Consider the following 26117-nt stretch of genomic DNA (forward strand, 5'->3'; position numbering starts at 1 on the left):
CGCACACACACGCATAGACACACACACACCCGGCTCATAATGAGGCTACAGGAGAACCAAGGAAAATGAGACACAGACAGACAAGAAGCATTCCAAACCCCAGGGCATGAATAAAGGAACAAAATGGCCTGACATTTGAGAAGAGATATAAGGAGATAAGCTAGCACAGGGGAGTGAGAAATAAGGTTACCAAGCTAATAAACACTTTAGAGAGCGCGACAATGGCGAAGAAACACTTTTCAGGGAGCAACCAAAATCAAAGGAGATTCTTCTCAGCCTCCTCATGGTGGGAGACAACAGCTCCGTGTGACCTCTTGGTCACTTAGACCAGGGAAAAGAGGAGAGAAAGGGAAATGCAAGTATTGGCTGCCTCAGTACAGGTCAGTATCTTTTCCTTTTTGAAAGACAAGGGTGACTGGACCAAGGAAAGCTCTTCCCAGAGAGAAGACCTCAGTGTTGGAGCTCCTCAGGCCCTGGCAAGGAGAGGCGGGCAAGGCTCGGGGGGCACCTCCTGCTCTGCTGTTCAGGTTCTGTCCAGGTGACAACAGCAGGTGAGAAAGCAAGGGTCTGTCGCACTAAAGGCTTGCACCTTGGAAGTGAGCAAAAATTCAAGAAGGTGCTGAAGGCTGAATTGCATCCCCTCCCCACTCCCAAATTCCTATGTTGAAAGCGTAACCCATGGTACCTCATACTGTGACTTGGTTTGGAAGTAGGGTCCTCAAAGAGGCATTTAAAGAGGTAAAGTTAAAATGGGCTTGTCAGGATAGACCCTAATATCCAATCTGACAGGTGTCCTTACAAGAAGAGGAAATGGGCTGGGCGTGGTGGCTCACACCTATAATCCCAGCCCTTTGGGAAGCCAAGGCAGGCGGATCACGAGGTCAAGAGATCGAGACCATCCTGGCCAACGTGGTGAAACCCTGTCTCTACTAAAAATACAAAAATTAGCTGGGGGTGGTGATGAGTGCCTATAGTCCCAACTGCTTGGGAGGCTGAGGCAGGAGAATCGCTTGAACCTGGAAGGCAGAGGTTGCAGTGAGCCAAGATCACGCCACTGTACTCCAGCCTGGCGACAGAGAAAGACTCCGTCTCAGAAAAAAAAAAAAGAAGAAGAGGAAATGTGGACACAAAAGCAGATGCCACAGCACGCATGCACAGAGGGATAACTGTGCGAGCGGACAGGAGAAGGCAGCATCTGCAAGTCAAGGAGAGGAAACCAACCCTGCCAGCACCGTGACCTTGGACCTCCAGCCTCCAGAACTGTGAGAAAATTAATTTCTGTGGTTTAAGCCACCCCATCTGTGGGGTTTTCTTATGAGAACCCTAGCAAACCCATAAAGAAGGCAATATTACGAGGGGAAAGTGGGGTGGAGGTTAAGGGAGACCCCACACTAATCTGAAGAATGGTCTTGGCCACAGGTGTGTTCTTTATTTCAAATCTTTGGTGAAAGTGGCCAGTGGACATCAGTTGACTAAGTCGTTGGCTAACACGCATCCTCTAATCCTAGAGTCTGAATATTTTAAACGTCTGATCCCTTTCACTGCATTGAGTTGTTCACTTTCAGAACACCTACCACCAAATCTTCTGAACAAAATGAAAAACACATGGCCTGTCCACGAATATTCTTCACTGAGAGATCTCAGTGTGGCCCACATCTTCAAGCAGGCTCTAAAGATTCCATTATCCCATTTCCATGTTGAGATTTCTGCAGGCCCAGAGACCATAAGGGATGTTCTAGAGGAAAGTCAAATGGAAAATGCTAAGCCCCTTTGGATTCCCTAATTCATAATTGGAAGTTGAGGTAAGAAAGCAGAGAAACGGAAACACAAAATCTTCAGGATCATTTTGGGTCTTGAGAGCCCAACATCCCAAACGACAAATCCACCCAGATCACATTTGCCATTTGAATGCTGAAGCAAAGAACATGGGGTCTCCAGGCAGCATTTCTAAGGCAGGAGAGCCCTGTACCAAAATGTGATCCCCTCCCCTCTACAACAAAACCACAGCAATAGATAAGAATATTCTAAGGCACTTCGTAGCCAAGCAGGCATTTCGAATGTGTGTCTGAACTGACACACCTATTACCTATGCCCAACCCAGTCTGAGTGGCTGGCTCTTCAGGAGTGAGGGAAAAGAGTTGTAGGTCTGGCATCTGACAGTGGCCAGGTAAGGACTTTCTCTTCTGCTTAACACTCACCTTCCTTCCTCTGGGAGCAGAGCAGGGTGTGTGAGCCCAGCCCTGCTATTGCTAAGCCTAGGGTTGGGCTGAGCTGCAGGGGCAGCTGGCTGGCTGGCTGAAAGGGCCAACACACTACAGCACATTGAGACCACTCAACGGTTGCTACCAGAAGATGCCAGCAGTGAGAAAAAGGAACAAGGAACGCTCCCCAGCCTGTCTAACCCACTTCTTCACTGCCCCAACCTAACAAGTAGGCACTCACGCCTGTGGTTCTCATTTCTGTGGTTGGGTGGGGACCGAGTCTCCTGGTCTTGAGCTTCATCCCCCTCCTCGCTGGCCAGGTGAGTGTGAGCATAGTGGTAGCTGAGCCCCGGTCGGTTCTTGTAGCGCTTGCCACAGACTAGAGAGGAAAAGAGGAAAAAAGGGAGAGATACAAATATTAGCAACCTGTGCAGCCACCGCTATCATTCTCCCAGACAGTGATCCCATCCATCCACCCCAGAGCCAGGCTTCCCTTAAAACTGTCTCCCATCCCAACATCCCTTTCCCCCACCCAACAGAACCAACACCCTTGTAACAACTCAGGTCATGGAAAGAAAAACTGTAAAAGTAAAATATGAGGTTAAGAGCTGTGTGAGCACTCCACCGTTTCTAGCTGTGAGACCCAGGGCAAGTCACTTGACCTCTCTGTGCCTCAGTTTCTTCCGAGATAAAATGGGAACAATAACAGTACTTACCTCACAGGGTCATTGTGATAAGTTTATCTCTATGCAAAGTACTTAAAACAATATCAGGCACTTTGTGAGGGTAATTGTTATGACGTTGAATTCAAAGGGCACTGGGAATCTACCCAATCCAACATCCCATGACACAGATGAGGCAAGTGAGACCCAGCAACACCAAGTGACTTGCCCAGGAGCACACAACTAGTGTGGCAGAGCCACCAGAACCCATGTCTCCTGGGTTCCTGTGCACTGTCCCTTCCACCACCCCATGGTTGGCCTCTGCAAGAAGTAGAAAAGTTTTATCTGGATAATCCTTTTGATGTCTCACCCAGCGATTTTGTGCCAGAAACACATGCTGCACTTCTACCATGAACGCCATGGAGTTAAAGCATCCTTGGTGAGTGTAGTCACCAAGAGCTTGTGCCCCTGATGCCCCAGGGCAGCCAAATCTGTAAAAGGTGCTCTCACAAGTACTACCTCTCAAATGGGGCAGTTTGAGCCAAGGGCAGCGAGCAATCGAAATGTGCCTTCTTGGAGCCAGGAAGAAAGGGCAGCAGTTCTGTTGGTTAGATGCTCAGTTCCTGGGAAGCAGAAGTCTGGCTAAATGGCTCAAGGTCACACTACCACCCTCAACCTCCCCACATAGGGATCATTATCTCGGCCCCTAGGGGGACGGCATTGCTGGTAGCAGAAACCTCGAGAGTCTTCCCAGTGAAATGTCCATGCCAACCTTCTATGCTTGTCCCCCAGCCTGGGTCCCCATCAGAGCAAACCAACCTGCTCTCTGCTGGAGTGCCTGAAAGTTACAAATTCTAAAAGACTTCTCCCTTGTGCTGACATGACCACGTCATACAAGGAAGCATAAATGCTTCACAAGGTGGGAAGAGCACAACTTTAGCATCAGGCCTGGGTTCAAATCCCAGTTCCAGCTGCTGAGGTTCACTGGCTGTGTGGTCCTGAGAGTATACAGAAGTGCTGTCATCCAGTCATCTTATCCAATACCCTTATTACTTCTGATAGAGTTTCTCTTCCTACCAGATTCTCTTGGGGTTTTTCAGTAGACAAACATTGGCCAAAATAATGTCACCTCTTCTTCCCCATATTTACATAAACTATTTTATCTTAGCTTAGATCATTTGTAAGAACCACCAAAACAATATCTTCAAATGGCAAAAGCAAGCATTTCCAATGTTAATGAAGGTGGATTTAGTGTTTCACTGTTTAGAACGATGTATCTGGCTAATTTTTAGTCTTTACCAAATTTAAGTAGTTCTTCTTATTCCTGCTATAGAGTTTTATTATAGGAGAATTTTATCAACTACCCTTTCAGCATCTACTATAATATGATTCTCCTTTAGTTGGTTGATAAGGTAAATTACGTTGATTTCCTAATATTTCCTATTATTGAACCATTCTTGCATTCCTAGAATGCACTCCATTTGGTCAGAGTATATTATTTATTTGATATACTGCTGCATTCTGCTTTCTAATACTGCATCTTGAATCTGTACTAAGACTTGAGCTCAATCTATAATTTTTGGACTATCTTTTATTAGGTTTCAATTTTATGGTGATGTTGATTTCTAAAAATTAACTGAAGAGTTTTGCTGCATGAAATTGGACAAGCTGCAGCTCTGTGCCTTTTCTTTTATCTGAAAATGAGGATAACAGTACTTATCTTGCAGGATGGGTAAAGGTATTATAAATAGCATTTGCAAGCAGCTCTCTCAATACCCAGCACATAATAGATGTTCAATAAATGGTAAATGAGGGGCAAGGGCTGTCAGCATTTTTTGCTGCATCTTAGGTACTGGATCTTCCTGAAAAGAGGGACTTTGACCCTTGCCTCATATTATAAAATCTGGCAACTGGTTGGACTTCTTTGTTAAGGTAAGATGAGAGTCTGAAATTCAAGTTGGTGACCCAGTGACTATAAATTCAAGGCCCAATGTTTAGCTCCCACTTATAAGTAGAACATATGGTATTTGATTTTCTGTTTCTGCATTAATTCACTTAGGATAATGGCCTCCAGCTGCATCCATGTTGCAAAGGACATGATTTTGTTCTTTTTATGGCTGTGTAATATTCCACGGAATATCCTGAACACTGGGTACACACAGACGTAAAGATGGAAACAACAGATGCTGGGGACTCCAAAAGGGGGAAGGGAAGGAAGAGGGCAAGGCTTGAAAACCTACCTATTGGGTACTATGTTCACTAATTGGATGATGGGTTTAATAGAAGCCCAAACCTTAGCATTATGTAATATATGCATGTAACAAACCTGAATCTAAAAAAATAAAAAATTAAAATAAATAGGCCTATCATTGGCTACTTACATTCATATATTCTCTCTTCCTCTCTCTCATAAATATTGTAAAAAAAATAAAATTAAAATAAAATAAAATAGTGCTATGCATCTTAATTCCATGTGACTCAGGAAGCTGGACCCAAAGAGGCCCCTGAGGTGCACTCTGGATCTGCTTGTGGCTTTTTCTATTTAGCTTTTTAGATAATCTGAAGTTAATACACAGCAAATTATGGGGTCATTGCATATAAATCCATTTAGTTGCCAGGCATACTGTTAGTAAGGAATAAATGCTTATTAAAAGTAATGATAATGATATCAGTATTTACACAAAGAGGCCTCAGCCACCTCTGCAGATCCCCAGTATAAACTCACAGCATTTCACTTGTGCCATTTTGTTATGTCAATCATCACTGTTGCTTAATCACACAATTTCAGGATCTTAATGGTCATTTTGTCTATCTAGAGAAGTGTTTTATTCCCAATAACTCTAGAAGGCTGTTCTGGACAACTCCATTGATAGGGAACTCACTACCAGTCAAAGCAGGCATTTCTCCTTTAGACTCCTTGAATTATGGCTATGTCTGCACTATGTCTCTTAAGGACAGTTTCATATCAATTTCATCTTGATATCAACAACTCCACCTTATATGTTGACATATACATACTACGCCTTCAAAACATATTTGTTGAGTGGCTCATGAATGAATACAGAACCATTTTGTGGGAAGGCCAGGAGATGGGCGAAGAGGCAAATTGCAGAATCTAATCCTTCTACCCACATTAAGCTCAGACTAATTGTTCTTAAAAGTCTACAAAACCAAACCTAAGCAAAAAGCTCCCTCTATCTCCTTCCCCAACATGGTAGAAAGTAATAATGTTTAGAGCAAATCCTTTTGCTAGAACAGAGATTCTCAAACAGTGGTCCCCAGACCAGCACCATCCACATCTCCTGGCAACCTGTTAGAGATGCAAACTCTTGGGCTCCACCCCAGACTGACTGAATCAGAAACTCTGGGGGTGGGGCCCAGTGATCTAGATTTTTAAAAGCCCTCTAGGTGATTCTGATGCACACTAAAGTTTGAGAACCACTGGGCTAGAAGGCTGGATCTATTTAGGCTTGGCTCCACCAACCCTATGTCCACATGCCCTTCTTGATGGATGGCCGTAGCAGGCAGGGGCAGGATAGGCAGCCTTGAGACCTTTGTTCAGTTATTAGCAGTTATTAGCAGAATCAGGACCAGACAATACATGGAGGTCCCAGAAGCCAGACTTCTTCATGAAGAGCCCTCTGGATGGAGCTCCATTTTTAACCGGGTATTTGTACCATGTCATTCTTCTATCACCAGGTCTTCAATTCAAGAAATATTTATTAGACACCTAATATGTGCCCCACCCTGTGCCACAAGAAGGACAAAAATGAACAAGCCCCAGACCCCTCCATGGAGGAGGTCGCAGTCTAGCAGAGATCTGCATGTAAACAAGCCAGGGGGAGGTGGGTTGGATACAGGGTGAGACCGTGCCAGGCAAAGAGGGACATCAAAGAGGGGACAGGAAACTGGCTTGAGTGAGTAGGGTAGGGCTTCCCAGAGAAGGAGCCCCTGACATGAGCAGGACTTCAGCAGGCAAAGGGGGCTCAAAGCACATGCAGTTATCACCTCTGCAAACTGCGAGAAGTCTAACAAAGTTGAAGAGGTGGAGCGGTGGGGGTGGATGTGAGGAAGACTAACAGGAGAGGAAGCTGAGCAAGGCTTTATCCTGACAATGGGGCAGCCAGGAGAGGATTCTATCCTGAGGACCAAGTTAAGCAGACTGACATGTTAGAAATACTGCTTAAGATTGTAGGGCAGAATATGGATTTGAAGGTAGCGAGGGGCTATTTCAATTGTTTACCTGTGCAACAATGAGGACTTGTGCATGGAGAGGAAAAATGGGGTGGGAGAGGGGTTAATGAGAGAACTTGGTGGAAAAGGGAGTGAGTAAGAAAGCAAGGAGGAACCCAGAAAGACTAACATGGCCTTCCTGGCCAGGCCTGACCCAGCCCCACCCACCTCTCCAGCCTCTTCTGACACCACGTTCTGCCTCCACACAGCCCTTCTGCTCGCTGGCCTTTTCGTTTATTATAGATTTCTCTTCCCACCACAGAGTCTTCACACAAGCTCTTTCCTCTGCCTAGAATGTCCCCATCCCCAATTTGCCTGATTAAGGTCTAATCATCCCTCTGATCTCAGTTCAAATGTCCTCCCCCAGGGAAGTCTTTCAAATCAAAATTACAACCTTAGTTTTTTGCCTTCCTAGGACTAATCACGTGTCAATACAGACAGTCCGCAATTTACAATGCTTTGACTTTTGATTTTTCAGCTTTACAATGGTGTGAAAGCAATACACATTCGATAGAAACCATACTTCAAGGACCTATACAGCTGTTCTGTTTTTCAGTTCAGTATTCAATAAATTACATGAGATATTCAATGCTTTATTCTAAAATAGGCTTTGTGTTAGATGATGTTGCCCAACTGTAGGCTAATGTATATTTTCAAAGTAGGCTAGGGCTGGGCATGGTGGCTTACACCTCTAATACCAGCACTTTGAGGGGCCAAGGTGGGAGGATCCCTTGTGCCCAGGAGTTGAAGACCAGCCTAGGCAACATGGTCTCTACAAAAAATACAAAAATTACAAAAAATACAAAAATTAGCCACGTGTGGTGGTGCGCACCTATAGTCCCAGCTACTCAGGAGGCTGTGGTGGGAAGATCACTTGAGCCCAGGAAGCAGAGGTTGTAGTTAGCTGAGATCACACCACGGCACTCTAGCCTGGGTGACAGAGCAAGAAAAAACATAAAATAAAAAAGTAGGCTAGGCTACACTATGGTTTAGTAGGTTTGGTAGGTTAGGTGTAAGACATGCATTTTCGACTTAGGATATTTTCAACTTATGATGGGTTTGCCAGGACATAGCACTACCATAAGTGGATGAGCATCTGTATGCATCTCTCCCACTGGCAGCAAGCATGGCAGGTCCTGTGTATCCGCAGTGCTGTGTCCCGATGACCAGCACAGGGCCTCACTTGTGGCAGGTGCTCAATGTCAGCTACGGAAAGCAAAGAGATGCACATGTTTCTGACGTGGGCAACTGGGTAGAAGGATGAAGGAGGAAAACCAGATTTAAAGAAGGAAGAAAATGAGTTGAGTTCACCTAAAGCTTGGGAAAGAGACGTAGATTTTGGAGCTGGCAGGGTGGCAATGGATGTTATAAGTATGGGGAAAAGTGTCAGGAAGAGACTGTGGAGAGAGAAAAGAGGTGCCTACACAGGATAGAACTCAGAAAACACCAGGATCTTAAGAAACTGGTGGAAAAAGAGAAACTGATTTTTTAAAAATTTGTTTAGAAAGGGTTGAGTGTGGTGGCTCATGCTTATAATCCCAGCACTTTGGGAGGCTGAGGCAGGAGGATCACTTGAGGCCAGAAGTTCAACACCCATCTGGGCAACATAGCAAGGCCCCATCTCTGCAAAAGACAATTCAAGATTAGCCAGGTGTAGTGGCATGCTCCTGTAGTCCCAGCTACTTAAGAGGCTGAGGTGGGAGGATCACTTGAGCCCAGGAGGTCGAGGGTGCAGTGAGCCATGATTGTGCCACTGCACTCCAGCCTGGGTGACAGAGATTCTGTCTCAAAAAAAAAAAAAAAAAAAAAAATTAGTAATTGTTAAGAAAAACTCACACAGGAGTGAGCAACATAAGCCAAAGGAACAGGGTTTCAAGACGACAGTAACAATGACACCACCAGTCACAGGTCCTGCCAACAGCTATTGAGTGTTTACCACGGACCAGGCCCACTCCAAGTGCTTCAAGTAAATTGACTCACAGCAACCTGCATCCCCATTTTAAAGAAAGATGAGGAGATTCTGCACCGAGGCAGAGCCACAGTAATAAATTAATCAGATGCCTGAGAAGGGTCAAGAAGGTTGGAGACTAAGAGACCACTGGATTTGGAAATTGGGAAGTTGCCTTAGCAAGAAGAGAATCCACAAAGTCGAGGAGCACAACTGCAGGGTGCTCCAAGAAATGAGGAAGTGCTGATGGGGCCAGCTGTGGGAGGAGGAAAGAGGGAGGTTGGTGGGTGGAGGGGAGCTTAGGATCAGGGCAGACCAGGGTGGAGCCTGTGTTTTACCAGCCTATTCTGACTCCCAAGTCTTAGTCCTTGGAATGATTTCATCATAGGGGCAAGAGGAAGAGTGAAGACTTCCAAGAGTTATTTTGGTTGGATTGCATCAGGATGAAACTGCTTCATCACAATGGAAAGAAACGTCTTGAAATCCTGCTTTGACTGGCTTAGAAAAGCCAGCACTGTTTCTCCTTCTGTGTTTAATCATGTCTTCCTGTCACTGCAAACACCATGGGCCAGCTTCGTGAGCCTGTGACCTGTGCTTCCAGACAGGGTCCGAGTTCAGAAAGGCCCCACACTTGGTTTAATGCCCTGCTGTTGGCATCTTGAAATTCTTAATATTTATTGAACAAGGGCCCCCGCATTTTCATTTTGCAGTGGACCCTACAAATCACGTAGCCAGTTCTAGAAGTCTGTTGGGTTCAGAGTGGAGATCTGAGACTAAGTTACTCCAAATAGCTGACCTGATAGTCTGAGAGCTGCCAAGGTGAACCCAGGTCCCAACCAGTCCTGAGTCAGGCATAAAATTCCCTTCTGAGATAATCTTGAAAGTCTGGCCAGAGTGATTAGCTGCTCAGTAGTCATCATCTCAGTGCCATCAACCACCCAGGCCTGGCTTCTAGATCGGCTCTGCCCTCAGAGAGGCAGAATCTGCAGCAGGTAAGTGGGCAGGCTGGATCTGAACTGCCTGGGTTCAAGTCCCAGCTCTGCTGTTGACTCTGTGATCTTGGGCAAGTTACTAATCCTCTCTGTGCCTCAGCATCCTCTCTGTAAAACAAGGTGGATCATGACAGCACACCTGCTCCCCGCGGTGAGACCCATATGAGAGAATGTATTTAAAACAAAGCCCAGCTCATGGGGAGTCGTGGCTGTTCTCAGCTGCTCTCATCACCACTGCTGTCAAAGTGGCCCAACAAAGAGAATAAACCCCAAAGTGGGGAGTTATTTCTCCTCTGAAGTCTGGAGTGGAATAGCAAGGAAAAGAGGGTGGGAAAAGAAACATTTTGAAAATAAAGTACTGGAACCATCTGCTCTCCTTTTATCATGTCGGCATTCTCACTCTGGAAATATCTGTCGTGCGGAATCAGCCTGAGCCCCAGGAGCGCTGAAGCAGCAGAGAGGGTCATGCCCCATCTTCCCACTCCAGTCTCCTTCCCCGGGGGCAAGCGCTTTTGCACCATGCACCTCTGAAGCCACCACCCCTGGGACCAGTCAGCCCTGCCTGTGCACGACCTAAGGTCCTTCTTTTCACCTTGGCAAGCGTGCACCTGGATTTTGTGTTCCTGGCATGGTGCACATGGAGAGCAGTGGCTGTGACAATAAGGGAGGTCCAGCTTGCCTTCTCTTTCTCCTTCCCCCTGGGGCGGATCCATCTGTCAAGGTGCAGAAGGAGTGTTTGCCCACTTCCCAATCCAGAACTGGATTCTGCATGCAGGACCTCCTGTCTGGAGTTATGGATGCCTTCAGTGCCGCTCCAAAATATTTACTGCACGCCCCCTGCCCTCCTTCAAACCTACCCCACTCCTAGTCTGGGCGGGGGTCGGGGGGAGCAGGGAGGAGGAGGAATCAGGGGCAGCTTGTGTGAACAAAGCCGCTGCAGCAGACAGCAGAATCCTTCCTGCCGGGGAGAAGCGGCTGCCTTCCCCACTGATAACTTAATGACTCTGGCACATTTTCATCAGCCCAACTTGGAGCACACAGTGGGAATCTGAGCCAGTGGTTTCCGAGAGACTGAAAGCAGTGACTGAAGGCAATTACAGGATGAGCATCCCAGAGACAAAGCCTGGGCCCTGGGAGTCACCAGCCAGTCACCAGCCACAGCTCATTCCCGGCTCTGCCCCGTGGCACTGACATACAACCCTGAGGACACCGCTTCCTTCTCTCTGCAGCTGGACTTCCTCATCTGTCACCCAGACCCCACCATGCCTGTCATCTGCCGATGCCTCCAAGGCATCACACCTACCATCAGGCAGCACCCATTCCCATGCAGAATCTCACAGCTCAGGAGGCAAGGATCCCCATTCCACAGATGAAGAAACTGAGTCTGGGGGAGTTTAAGCAATTCTCTGGATGGCACAGCCAGAGTTTGAGCCCTGGTCTGTCTGCCCTTGAAGCACGTGACTGAAAGGTGCGCTGGTGAGTCTCTGCTTGGCACTGCCTCCCTCCCCACCCACCCCAACGGCCTGGGGCTGACTGGCGTGGCCTGCTTCACCCATGCTCCCTTGCTCTCGGCAAGAAGGAGGCACCAGCAGGAGAACGGAGGGTGGGAAGAAAAACACGTGGGGACTTGGGCCCTGCCCTGCCTGGGCACTGTGCTATACAGGGGCTGTATAGGGGCCCACCTCCAAGACTCCAGTCCTGCCTGGCTCTGGGAACCCCATGTCTCCCCTGCTCCTTGGAGCTGGGGATAGGGAGGGCTTCCCGCTCTCCCTGTCAGCACCTTCATCTTGCCCACACCTTCATAATCACTCTGGCATCAAATTCCCTTCCATCCAGCCCTTCTGAGTGGAATCCCACATCCTGCCGGATACCATTTGGACACATATTCACACCCTACCAGACCGGCTCGTAGAAGTTTGGGGCCACCAACACCTCCCAACGACCCTCCATCTTCTCTCTGCAGAACCATCTGGGGGATGGAGGCATTCCTACAACCAATTCCCCCGAGCAGGGAGAAGCCCCAACTGAGAAAAGCCCTGTGTGACTCCCAGATACAAACTCAGATCGGGATAAAGCCCAGGAGGTACTTCCAAAAGCCACCTGCTCAGACTGGGTACGCAGGGTACAGTTGTTCATCCCACAGCCACTTCAACTGGCCAGGCTTTTCTCAAAAGCCAACGGTGGATCCAACCCCCAGGTGGGCTTCTCCTCCCTCCCCTGCCCTTGAAGTTCGAGGCCAGCAGACTCGGTGGCCTTCTAGAGACCGGGGGTCTGGCTCTGGGTCTGATACTAACCCGCTATGCACCCTTGGACAAATTCATACCTTTCTGGGTCTTGATTTTTCTTATCTGCAGAATATGGGGGTTGGATCAGATGATCTCTAAGTCCTTTGCATTCTAGCACTTCACAACTCTCTGTAGGTCCTGAAGCTATTATCTCCTCAACTGTGATAGGAAAATGATGAGGCTCCCAGAGGCTGGCTACATCCACCTCCCCCCACCCCACCCTGCACGATTGGCAGCTGCCGTCCCGTGGCTTCATACCTTCTTTCAGGCCACCCTTGATGCTTATTTTAAGCTGAATTCCTTTGGATGGAGACACAGGGGATTGGGGGTAGGGGTGGGGTAAAACACCCTGATTTTTCACAGCCACATTTCTTGGGGCCTGGTGGTGACCCAGGATCTATCAAACTCCAGTGACCCAAAAGTCCTGTGTCTTCATCAAGGGAGAGTGTCCTGCTTATTTTGGGAATTTACTAGATGTGAGGAAGAACAGAGACAAGCAACCAGACTCTCGTTTCAAAATATTCTATCACCTGATTTCTGGATCCTCAGCAGGGAAATGCAGAAACCCCCCAAAACCAAAGCACTCCATGTGTTATGGGAATGTTTCCTGCCCTGCTGAGAAGCCGGGTAACAGAATGCAGGTGAACTCGGGAGTCTGCCTTCTTGGGTCAGCTGATTTGCAATGTGACCTTGGGCAAGTGACTTAGTCTCTCTCAGCCTCGGTTTCCTCGTCTGTAAAACAAGGGCAATAACAGTTTGTAGCTCATGGGGGAGGTGTGAGAACTGCAGGAGTTCATCTTCTTACAATGCTCAGCCCAGTGCCTGGCACACAGCACATGTTCAACAAACATCAGCTATTTTTGATCATTCATTTAACTTGATCAGACAACTCCCTTAGATCCTGCAGCAGCTAGGGCACAGAACACAACTGGGGCCCCAGCTTAGGTGTTAAATAAGTACCTTTTCTTGATTCAGTATAAAGAAAATAAACATTTATTGAAAATATCTATGAACCAAGCAGTGAGCTAATTGTTTTTACACAATTTCTCATTGAACCCTCTTGGAAACCCACTAAGGTTAATATTATTGTCCTCACCTAACAGACCAGAAAACAAAGGCTCAAAGTGGTTTTGTGATTTGCCTGAGGTCATGGCTAGGAAGTGACCTGGTAAAGATTCAAATCCTAGCTTTCTGACTCCGGAGCCACCTTCTTCCAACTGGCATCCCTTTCAGGGTGGTGTCTTTGATTCCTGATTCTAGTGAGTCCTGCGTTAGCATGTCCTTAATGAGCTTAAATTAAGAGTGAAACTGAATTCTCTTTTCAATTGTACAATAAAAATAATTTAAATAATAAATGTCATTGTCAACATTTCTGGGGAAGGTAAAAAGAGAAAGGTCAAAAATCAGACCTGATTACCCTAAGCTGAGGCAGCCCCCAGGCATCTGGGAATCCTGCTAGCATCCTCTCTCTCAATATCTCTGTACACCTCCCATGCCAGGACATCAGTGCGGCCTCAAATGCTGAGCAGGTTTTATTTGTGAGTTCCAGGCTATCCAGTGTGATTCCCCACCCCCTGCCTGAGGTAGGCCTTCTTCCACCTACAATGTCAGTGTAAGCTCCTCAGTGCCTTAGAGGAAACAACAACTGTCCATTAGCATCTGTTAAGACGTTTCTGCCTGGATTCCTGCCATTTCCACCAACTCATATGTCAGTTTCATCACACTCCCAAAATTACTTCCCCTTTTAGGATATTCCAGTTAAGCTACCCCTTTTGTCTCAATGACCCAAGTGCAAGATGTCAAGAGTCATCACTGCCACCTCCCTCTCTCCTCTCCTGCTCTCCACATCCTGTCCATCATCTGCCGGGTTCTGTGAATTTCTCTTTCATTAAGTCTTCTTCATCTGCCCCGTCTATTTCACTGCTGCTATCACCACCATCCAGATTTCATGTCTTCTCCTAGCTGACTAGAAAAGGCTCTTCTCGGTCATCAGGCTTCAGGCTTTCCTCCCTGAACACCGAATCCTACAGATCAACCTTCCTAGAGATGTCCCTAGGATTGTCATGAATTACCACGGACCATGCAGGCCAACCTCTAAGCCAGGGGTCCCCAACCCCCCGGGCTATAGACTGACACCTGGACTGCACAGCAGGATGTGAGTGGCGGGCAGGCAAGAGAAACTTCATCTGTATTTACAGCTGCTCCTCATCACTCGCATTACCACCTGAGCTCCACCTTCTGTCTGATCAGATTAGATGTCACACTGGATTCTAACAGGAGCACAAACCCTACTGCAAACTGCACATGCAAGAGATCTAGGTTGCACACTCCTTATGAGAATCTAATGCCTGATGATCTGTCACTGTCTCCCATCACCCCCAGATGGGACCATCTAGTTGCAGGAAAACAAGCTCAGCTCAGAGCTCCCACTGACTCTACATTATGGTGAGCTGAATAATTATTTCATTATATATTACAATGTAATAATCATAGAAATAAAGGGCACAATAAGTGTAATGTGCTCAAATCATCCCAAAACCTGCCCTCCGCCCCTGGTCCGTGGAAAAATTTTCTTCCATGAGTCCCTGGTGCCAAAAAACTTGGGTACTGTGGCTCTAAGCACCTCAGCCTGATGTTCCCAGCAACCCTGGTCTAACTCTGTGCCCCCAATCTCCCTACCCACATGCTCTGGGTTAGTCGAGCTGAGCCTTCTTCTTCCCTGGTATGCACATCCCACATTCCCTTCTCCAGACATTCATCAACAGTTTGGAAGCACCACTGTGCTGGGGCTGGGCTGCAAGTTGATTCTGGCCTGGGCCCTGCCCTCAGAAGGCTCACAGTCCAGCCTGAGGGAGCAGAGAAACAAACTGTCATCACACAATGTGGGAGGCAGCCTACCAGGAGGTAGGCACAAGGTACCAGCAGCTTCCAGAAAGGGACAGTGATAGTGTGTGTGGTGGGGGAGGGAAGGAGAATGAGAGAGAGAAAAAAAAAGAGAGAGAGAGAGATGAATGACTGGGATCAAATCTTGGCTCTAGCATTTATTCACTATGTGACCTCAGGAAAGTTAATTAACCCTTCCTCTCCCCAGTTTCCTTATCTGTAGGATAGAGATGACCAAAGCATCCATTTCATAGCACTTTTGTGGGAGTTAAAGAGTTAATATAGATGAAGCCAACAGAATATTCCAGGTCTATAATATAAGTCAACAAACTTCAGCATTATCATTATTACCTCTTCCCCCTACCCCTGGGCACACCCATCCACCCCTGGGGGCCAATATCAATTCCATCCATGCGCCCTAAGGGCCTTCTTGGCATCCCGGGGCTGCACTCTCTGACACAGCAGCCCCTCTTCGTGTGACCACTCCCTGCCCTGTTCCTTCAGTGCTCACTGTCCCCTCAATTAAATACCGCCCCGGCAGTGTGCTATCTCCTGCACAATATCAGCCTTTCTCCTTCCAAGCATATTGGAGAAAGAGAAAATAAGACCAAGGTGGGGGAAACCTTTGTCAAGCACATGCCACGTGCAAAGCTTTTTACATACATCATCACAGTCAGCTTTCCCACTGTGCCCCATCCCCACCATACACCGGAGGACATGGAGACTCCTACAGCAAAATGACTTTCTCGATGTCACAGATAACAAGCAGCAGAACCACTCCAAAGTCAGGGCACATCCTGCTTCACCCAGCTCTCTGCAACCTGGCAGACCCATCAGGCTCCTTGCTTTCCTATACTCCCCACCATGACTCAAAATAAGAGAGATCAAAGGCCATGCACCAGGCCCTGCAGCCTCACAACTGTACTTCTAGGAAACAATAAAGCATTATGCAAAGGTATAGCTGGAACAGTGCTTTTTTTTTTCTTTTTTCTTTTATTATTATTATACTTTAAGTTTTAGGGTACATGTGTACAATGTGCAGGTTAGTTACATATGTATACATGTGCCATGCTGGTGTGCTGCACCCATTAACTCGTCATTTAGCATTAGGTATATCTCCTAAAGCTATCCCTACCCCCTCCCCCAACCCCACAACAGTCCCCAGAATGTGATGTTCCCCTTCCTGTGTCCATGTGTTCTCATTGTTCAATTCCCACCTATGAGTGAGAATATGCGGTGTTTGGTTTTTTGTTCTTGCGATAGTTTACTGAGAATGATGGTTTCCAATTTCATCCATGTCCCTACAAAGGACATGAACTCATCATTTTTTATGGCTGCATAGTATTCCATGGTGTACATGTGCCACATTTTCTTAATCCAGTCTATCATTGTTGGACATTTGGGTTGATTCCAAGTCTTTGCTATTGTGAATAGTGCCGCAATAAACATACGTGTGCATGTGTCTTTATAGCAGCATGATTTATAGTCCTTTGGGTATATACCCAGTAATGGGATGGCTGGGTCAAATGGTATTTCTAGTTCTAGATCCCTGAGGAATCACCACACTGACTTCCACAGTGGTTGAACTAGTTTACAGGGGCAGTGCTTTTAATAGTAAACAGATATTAGACTGTCTAAACATCTAACAGTAGAACATTGAGCAAATTACGAGACATGTCCATAAGCTGTGGCACATCTGCATAATGGAACACTATATAGCCCTAAAAACTATGTCATAAAATCTATTTATTGACACAGAAAGATGTTCCTGATGTATCACTGAGTGGGGCAGCGGGGCGTTAAAATGGTACGTATCATTTCTTAGTCGTCTTCTGTGTGCGTGTGTGTGTGTGTGTGTGTATGTGTGTATAGACAGAGACAGAATTAATCCTAGAATGGAATACAGCAAAACAAATACAGCAAAAAATTATCTCCAAGGAGTGAGATTATGGGTCATTTTTGTTTTTTCCTCTATTTTTTTTTTTTTGAGACTGCGTTTTGCTCTGTCATCCAGGCTGGAGTGCAATGGCGCAAGCTCAGCTCACTGCAACCTCTGCTTTGCGTATCTGTAATTCCTGATTATTCTGCAATGAACAAATACTATTTCCATAGAAAAAGTTATTTTAAAAAAATAATGAAAAGCACCTCTACAATGGTTAATATCTACCCTATTATGGGTCATCTACACAGAAATAGGAATTGTCATGAAGTGTGCATCAAGAAACAGTTAGTGGAGAGCAAGGTTGTGACTGAATAGAAAATAACTCCAGAGGGTGTGGGTCACAGCCCAGAGAAGGCAGGTGTAGGTTAGAAGGTCAAATGCCAAGATGCGAGCCCTGGAGGAGAGGAGGCAGAGACAGGAGGGTCTAGGGACAGCAAAGAGAAACTTCACCCTCTCCCCAGCCCTGCCTCTGGCCAGTCCTGCCGGAACACCTGCAACCTGTGTCCATGACACAATGGCATTTAAATATTTAAACAGACCCAGCTTTGCTGGAACGGCGCACTCAGTCTCCAGGGATCAATCCCATGCCACAAGCCCCGCTCCACAAATCAAGTTTCTGGGGGCACCGAGCCTTTCCTCCCCTCCCCGATCCTACCCCCATCCAAGGACCTGCAAGACAACTGAGTGATGAGCCCAGCTTCCCTTCCGCGACAAAGGCAGTGAGCCTGAAGGCCGCGTTATTGGCTTTTCCACTGCAGCTTGAAGCGAAAAGCACGTGAGCCTTAAAGAATATGTGCCTTAATGCCCTCAAAAAAATTTTTTTCTTAGCAAAACTGCAAGAGTCATCTAACTCTCCCTGCTGCACTCAGGTAGGGGTAAAACCAGGGTAGTTTGAAAGAGGTTGAGGTCAAGCAGATTTTCTGGGACTGCCTTGGGCTCAAGCTTTTGTCTGTCCAGTCAGCAGATCCACCCATCCCATCGCACCTCTTGGCCTGTGGCACAGTTTCCCGTGGTATTCCCCAATCCACTGCTCCCTTCATGTCCTCCAGACATCTTGCCTCCCTAGTAAAGAGCATCATTGTTAAGCTGCTGCCTGGGAAGAAAGGCGCCACTGTGTGGGGAAGGAGTGCTGATCAGGGCAGTCCGGAGGCCCAAAGGAGGAGCCATCCCCTCACGGACAAAGGAGGAAACCAGTGCCATAGCAACTGAGGTGTAGAACCAGGACTAAACGTCCAGCCTGCTCCTCCCATCAGCCTGATACCCTTCTCTCTGAAGTACACCACTGCCAAGAAACAAGAGACTTTAGAACGGGAAGAGACCCTAGACCCTATTCTGATACTACCCCCACTGGGTGTGGCAACACACTCCCCGACTGGGTTTCTAGAAGGGAGGCAACAGGGTGAAGCGGCCACACAGCTGAAGACGCACATCTGTAGGGTGGAGGTGGTAGAGAACAGAGACTTTGCTGAGACAGAGGTGGCCTTGAGAGGGCCCGCTCCTGGTGTGTGACACCTGACGTGACTCAGGAGTGAGTCATGCTTCTAGGAGGGCTTTAGCCATGTCTATTTGCCTTTTGTCACTAATCTAGCCTAATGCCGTAGTTGGGGGGCAGTGATTTTAATAGATTTAAATTTAAAAGACTGGAAATCATATAATTCCTTCCATCCTACTTCAATTGTAACTACTACCTGACTCCAGCCTGCCCGCCTGATGCCTAGAAATTGCCCATCGACAGCGGCCAGGGCTTCACCTCATAAGTAAGTTGTGCGTTCTCATTAATTAACTTTGAAAATGCTTTTTCCGCAGCCTTCAAGAGAATGAAACTCCAGGGTAGGAGAGCATATGTAAGGGGCAGTTAGTATGGAAGATGTCCTAGGGTATGGCGGTTCTAGAGTTGAGGACGCTGGGATCATATCCCACTGTTCGCATCCTAGATCCCAGCTGTGTGACCATGGACAAGGCCCTACACCTCTCTGAGCCTCAGTTTCTTCACGGTAAAGTGAGGTCAACTGTCCCTGCCTCTCCAGGTTGGTGTGGGGGTTTACAGAAATAATCCATGTGAAACACTTAGCCTAGCGCTCTACACACCCTAAGCACCTACTCACAGGAATTAAGACCATGATTCAGAAAACACTTCGAGGAAAAAAGAAAACTTCCTACACTGCTTCCCTTGTGTCTAGCAAAAGGGCATATGCCTGCTTTGCTCCTCCCTGCATGGCTAATGCTTAGAGACAAAATGTTCTCCCTGAATATCACAACGTCATCACCAACTTCTTTGCTATGATGTTTCTTGAACAAAGAAAATGGAAAAGTGGGTCTCTCATCAGGAGTCTGCTCCAATGACGCTAACAGAAAAATTCGGGCTTGGGAGCAATTAGGAAGAGAAGAGGCAAACTCTTGAAATGACTTTTAAAACTTTCTAGCAGCCCAAACCCAAGGATTCCTTCCACCTGCCTGTCCCCAGTTATCATCCTGCCTACAAAATGGGGCTAAGGATACTGCTAGGATTTAAAGCGATTAAGTGAATTAAAAATCAAGCGCTGGATAGCTGAGTTGTATATCAATGTGAAATAAATGGAAAGAATAGATTCTAAGGAGACCAACTAAAACACTGATGCAAGCCAGTGGCAACCTGCCTGGAGAATTCCTGGAGACTCCAGAATGTCCAGATGCAAAAAGCAGAAAATAATAAGAGCTGAGCAGTCAGGAGCCAGAAGCCTTCATGTTTAAATGAAGTAGACTTGTCACTGTCAAAAGCCAGTATACACAAGAATCCCCTGAAGAGCGCTCAGAAAATGCAGGCCCCTTGGCCTTCCCTCCAGTGATTCTGATACCGGAGGTCTGATGTGGAGCCCAGGAGTCTGAATTCTAAGAAGCGTCTAGGCATTGCTGTGCAGCTGGTCCGGGCCTACACTTTCACAAACACCAACAGACTTTTCCACAATGTCCTATTCAGTTGCTTTTTTTGTGCATAAGAAACACTTTTCCTTAAGCAAGAGATTAAAAGGGAAGAAACAGAACTTTAACCCTTAAGCTTGGTAAACTTTCAAGGTAATTAAAAGAGACTGGTTACTTGCTGGAAAACAAAGTATTCATACATCCATACACCATGGATTGGGTAAAACATAAATCATGTTCAGGTGATTTAACATTTCTCTGAGACGGAAGAAATTCAATGACTGAGTAAAAGGCATCAAGCAAACTCTCTATCACCTGCAGTTAGCAGCTACAATAATATTCAAGCCACCCATTTTGCAAAGGAAGCTTGGAGCAAGAACACACAGGACCACTATATTCAGGAATGCATTCCAGGAAGGGTTAAATAAATCACATCAGAATATAGCTTATTACCACTACACATAAACCCAGAAAGGGGTTGGGGTCCAAGGTGATCTAATATTTTCATAAATAACTTGAAAGATGGAGTGGGAATTATGCAAATCACACCATAGATGATACAAAAATGGCAGGGACGGCAAATCTGTGGAGAATGAAATTTAACTACTGGGCAATGTCTTTAAATTTGCCTTTATTGAATCTTGTATATTGAAGTCACATATTATTGGATCTGTTTATTGAGACTCAATGGGACCAAATGCAGACTGATTTATGGAAGAAGGAATAATCAAACGCATAAGTAGAAAAGAGCATGCACCTGGAGAGGCATCGACACCGAGGCTGGGACAGGCTCCGACTAGTAAGCTGTTGAGAGGGTGGACAGGGCATAAGTAAGGAGATATGTCCGCTGCTCTTTGAGCCACCTGGACTTGATGCTACTTCTTAGGAGTGCCATGCTTAAGTGTAGACCTGGAAGGGAATTCCAAGCAGGGTGCCATAGAGACTATGGGGTGGGGCCCTAAGTCAACCAAGAATATATGGGATGTTCAGAAGGTCTCCCAGACGGACAAAGCCCTAATGTGCCTATTCGTAGGGGAAAGATGCGCAAACGACAAGGGGACCTGTAGGAGAGAAAATCTTCAGCTCCTATTAAGGAAAAACACTCATTCGAAGCACAGCTGGCATCATGGAAGAAAGGGCAGCTTATGGTAACACCATCCCTAGGGACGCTCGAGGAGGTGGCCAGACACCTCTCTACTTAGGATGCATTAGAGATTATTAAAAGCACTCCTTGCCCAGTTTGGGGGTGGTGGGGGTGGGCCTTGTGACCTCTCCAAAGGTCATTTCTATCCCAAAGGATCACATGTCTGAAGGGCACCAGATAAAAATAAAGTCTATTAATCACCGAGCTGCCACACAATTTCCAAAGAGAGCCAGAACAGAGAAGGGCAATCGACGGTGGCCCCTGCTCCACCGAGAGAGGGAGAGGAGGCAGCACGCATGCGGACAGAGCCAAGAAAGCAGCCGCTGAGACTTCCAGAAAGCCTGCCGTCAGGCCTCCCAGGCACTACAGGGCACACAGAAGGTGGGAGAGAGCCTGCGGGGAGGGCATCGAGAGAAGCAAACGTCACTGAGAGTCCCGAAACAAAGCCATGGGGACTCAGGAGACAGTGTGTGATGCAAGCACTTTGCAGAAAGAGGGGTGCCCAGTAAGAGAGGGATGCCCACAAACAGCACTTCATGGAGATGATCCACAAGGAGGCAGAAGTCAGAGGCAAAGGTGGGAGGAGAGGAACTGGGAGGGGATGAAGTCAGAGAAAAGGGCACACAGGTGTGTGTGTCTGGGAGTCCATGGGATTATGATGGGCTGGGAATCCAATGAAAGCTGCAGAGATAGAGCAAAAAGGGATCCCACGGTCTATAGTAGCAGACAATTACATACGAAGATAAAGCATTTTAAAAGAGGAACAAATGGCTGGGTGCAGTGGCTCACACCTGTAATCCCAGCACTTTGGGAGGCTGAGGCAGGAGGATCACTTGAAACCAGGAGTTCAAGACCAGCCTGGGCAAGACCCCATCTCTACAGAAAATTTTAAAAACTTAGCCAAGCATAGTGGCATGGGCCTGTAGTCCTAGCTACTGCGTATGCTGAGGCAGGAGGATGGCTTGAGTCCAGGAGGTCAAGGCTGTAGTGAGCTATAATCCTATGATTGCACCACTGTACTCCAGCCTGGGTGACAACGCAAGAGCGTCTCTTAAAAAATTAAATAAATAAAAATGAATAAACGAAGAATATAGTAGCAATGCCCCAGTTCCAAAGCAGTTGTTGGCATTCTTGATAGATGTGCTGGTCAAGCCAAACACAGCTAGAAAGCCCAAGACGGTCTGAGGGCCCTTCCCAGCCCATGGCTTACAGCCAGTCTCTCAAGGGTCAGCATGCTGGGGCTTCTATGTATCAGAGTGAAACTGAACGCCATGTAGGAAGCAAGACCCAGGCCAAGGCAGGCACCTCCTGGTGCTGCCAAAAGGCATCAGACCCCATGCCCTGCTCCTTCCTCATCCTGGACTAGAACTGCTTTGGGGTGGAGACGTTACCTGCAGGAGTCATCTCAGGAATGGCATCTGCATGGAGTATTAAGCAGCCAAATGGGAGTCATGGAGTTTGAGTTCTTCTAGCAAAATGTTCTCCAACCAGCTGTCACCCCATTGGACACAGAACAACTTTTTGAAATCAAAAGAGGCCAGTGAAGGGGGAGACAAAAGACACCACCCCCAGGGTGCTCCCTGGGCCCCACCCCTACCCCGCCTTGCCAGCTCTCTCCCTGCCTTCAGGGAGACTGCAGACCCTGGCGAGATGGGTGGGACACCCAGAGGGAGACCCGTGCCAGGGTCCAGCCTCGACTGTTTCACTGCCATCCTCGCTGCAGCCTCTTCCCTCCTATGGCGAAGCTCTGCATCCTCAGAGAGGAGAAGACGGCAAGTGAAGATCATTAGGAGTGTGGTGGTGAGGGCTGCCCTCCCATAGAATGAGCAAATGGTACCCGGTACAGTGAGAAGATGACTAGGGCACAGGTTTTCAATCTGCCTCCCAGTGCTCTGCTGTCTGGAGCTGACCACCTCCCTCATCAAGCTGCAGGTTTCCCGAGGTCCACCCACTGCCCTGGCTCCCTGCGACTCCCCTCCCGTGGGCTCCCTAGCTCTGTCTGCACGCCCTAAACTCAGGAGCCAGCCAGGCAGTCGCTTGTCCAAAAGATGTTTCTGAAGCAAGCAAGAAAGGCTGGAGATAGATTGAGGGCCATTTATTAAAGTAAGTCATCGTCATAGAAAGATTCATAACTTGCCCTACCTAGGACAGGAGAGGAAGAGGGAAAGGAAATTAAAGGGAAACAAATGAAAAGCCATGGCGAGCCAAGTACCTTTGTCGGAGGGTTTTGAGTTATGCTTTTGTTTGTAACTCTCTGAAATACAGAAAGAAATAGAGGATGAATCTTAAAGGAGACAGAGCGCGTGAGAGAGAGAGCCGGAGGAGAGCCACACAGGAGGCATGGCAGGAGGTGGGGGTGCAGAACTGAGGGTGGGGGCCACCCCAGCTGGCTTCCCCTCTGCAGAAACCCCCTGGGGCAGCAGAGGCCCAAGGAAGTGGTGACTGCGGTGGAGGCGGCAGGCGAGTAAGCTGGGGTGCAGACAGAGGAAGAGGAGAGCACACACTGAGGTTGGCAGGCGGATGGCCAAGGAAGCACAGGGAAGAGGGGCCCTGGGGGCAGGCGCACAGGGAGGAAGGAAGGTGGGACCGGCCCATACTTACTGTCACAGACGTAAGGTTTGTCGTGGTCTTCCTGAGAGGCGGCGTCGTGCCTCCTCCTGCCCCCTGCAGAGCCGCGAGCCTGGGGAGACATTGGGGTACAGGATGCTTGTTACCATGGTCATCACTACAGCTCCGGAGCATGCGCTCTGCGAGCTCCTTACACCGTCTTCATCCCAACTTTTGTGCCAACACCAGTCCCATCTTACAGGGGAGGAAACTGAGGCCCAGAGAGGTCAGGAGACATGCCCCCAAATCACTCAGTTGCTCACCTGTATCACCTCATTAAATGTTCACAACTCCAAGAGGTGGTTTCTACTAGGGTCCCCATTTTACAAACCAAAGGACTGAAGCCATAGAGAGGTTAAGTAGCTTGCCCAAGGTCGTTCGGCTACTCAGGGCAGCTGTACTGAAAAGCCCTCCTCTACCAAATTCCCACACACTACCGTGCCACTGAGGCCGCTTCCTCCTGCTCCTTAGCCTCCTAGCTTCACTGACACAGCTGAGGTTGACAACCCCAGGCCCCTCAGCAGACCAGCTGATGCACGTATCAGGAGCAAGGCCTGACGGGGGCAAGGCTAGGCTTCTGTGTCCATCCCCGCAGTGTCGCAAGAGCCAGACAGTCCTGACATCCAGGCCCAGTGCACGAGTGTAGCTACAGGGGAGCTCCCGCCACCAGCCCATGCTTGGCCTACTCAGTAGGGGTGGGCTTTGGCTAAGGCCTCCCTGTGTGGTCTGCCTTGGGCCTTCAGCCAGTGACGAAGACCTTGACCCCCATGGTCTCCTGGGCTGGACTTCTGATACCACCACCCTGTGTGAATCTCCCAGGGTGGCGGTGGAATGAGCTCTACCTTCAAGAATCAAAGAGCCCAGTCAGAGAGGTTGCTGGCAGCTCTGCAGCCCCAGGGCGGTGGTGACAAGAACACAGCGAGGTTTATTTTTAAACCTTTGTAAGTCCCACACTGGTCACGTGTATAGCACCCTCGCCTCTCCAGGTCATTCTTTGGTAATGAGTAGCAGTCAACTCCCAACCAAGGAAAGGGCCTGTCGGGGTCTTTGGGGACAGAGAGGAAGGGGCAGCAGGTGAGGAATAAGACCTGGCAGCAGCCTGGGGTGCAGGGGAAATGGGGCAGCCCCTGGGGCCTGGCTTGGAAAAGTGGCCATGGGGACTTGATGGTGGAAAGGCCTTGGATACTCTCACACACACACTCACACTCTGTGCACACACACACTCCATGTACACACTCACCGGGGACTTCACAGTGGAAAGGCCTGTACCCTAGGCCTGCAACACACCCACTCAGAAAACACACCCACTTCCCAATCAACACCACCTGCCAAGCTACCACCTCTGCCACCTCCTCAGCTTGTCTCTCTCCAAAACAAATTCCACTTCCTCCCTCCCTCCCACCAGTCTCCCTCCCCACCCCACCCCTGCAGCGCTGACAGCCAGCAGCCCTCCTCCCCTCGCCCTCATTACTCAGAGTTGACCCCAAGAAGGATCTGTAGGTGCTGGCAGTCACCCCGGGCACTGACAGGCCTCCTGCCTGCCCGCACTGCCGAGGGTGGTCACCCTCAGCTGCCCTCCCCCTCCACACCCCTCTGTGAAGCCAGGGACAGCTTGACATGTAGCCTGCAGCCCTGTCACAGCCGCCTCTGAGCAGGTGAAAGCAAGTCAAGCAGAATGACGAGGCAACAGCAGACTGGGGAAGGGGCTCTGGGAGACTAAAAATACCTCCATGGGGAAGGGGAGGAGTCGAGCAGAACTGGATGTACGAGGGCTTCTGGGGGAGCTGCCAGCAGGAAAGGGAGGGTGCTGTGGGAGCCAGGTTTTCATCTCCTACAGCAGGGCTGACCAGCAGAGTGACTCTGTGCCACACTCGCTTTGCCTCAGTTTCCTCAATTGCAAAATGGGGATCGTGTCTATAGGGCACTTCAGGGGACATGCAAGGGACTCTTCCTGAGGCAGCAGCACTCTTAGGGTCTCTTAGAAGATCTCAGGTTTGGAAACTCAGAATCCTACTTGGCCTTCTCAAATGTCACCTCCTCAGAGAAGCCCTCCCTGACCAACTTACATCCACTCACACCCTCTCCATTGTTTTCTTTCCCCTCCCATTTCATCATGGCACTGAGCGCTGTCTGGCATTAGATTATACCTGTGTTGGTTTACAAGTTGATTTTGTCTCCCCTACATGGAGAGACAAACATGGTGGAGACCATGTTTATTTTGGCCCCCACTAGTCTCAGAACCTGGCACAGGGCCAGCCACATAAGAAGCACTTAATAAACATTCGCCAAATGGATGAATCAATCAGGCAGGCAGCGAGTCAG

The 26117-nt window shown here is 48.2% G+C and overlaps 1 protein-coding gene across 4 annotated transcripts in view, besides 1 other annotated feature; it reads right to left on the bottom strand.

Annotated features, from left to right (window-relative positions):
* Positions 1–26117, bottom strand: part of DPF3 (double PHD fingers 3) — a 285068-nt gene that overhangs the window by 81600 nt on the left and 177351 nt on the right. For all 4 annotated transcript variants that reach the window (NM_001280542.3, NM_012074.5, NM_001280543.2 and 1 more), the window contains 2 exons: positions 23790–23868; positions 2443–2580 (listed from right to left, as the gene is read on the bottom strand). In NM_001280542.3, the coding sequence (NP_001267471.1) occupies positions 2443–2580; positions 23790–23868 (217 nt within the window). The remainder of the gene's footprint in view (positions 1–2442; positions 2581–23789; positions 23869–26117) is intronic.
* Positions 17231–17731: an enhancer, noted in NCBI's record as "H3K4me1 hESC enhancer chr14:73174572-73175072 (GRCh37/hg19 assembly coordinates)". NCBI's record gives its function as "activates a minimal SCP1, AML or CMV promoter by ChIP-STARR-seq in naive H9 embryonic stem cells {active_cell/tissue: H9 hESC(naive)}" and the evidence as "EXISTENCE:reporter gene assay evidence [ECO:0000049][PMID:30033119]".

This window comes from Homo sapiens, chromosome 14, assembly GCF_000001405.40.
Source record: "Homo sapiens chromosome 14, GRCh38.p14 Primary Assembly".
NCBI classification, from domain to species: domain Eukaryota; kingdom Metazoa; phylum Chordata; class Mammalia; order Primates; family Hominidae; genus Homo; species Homo sapiens.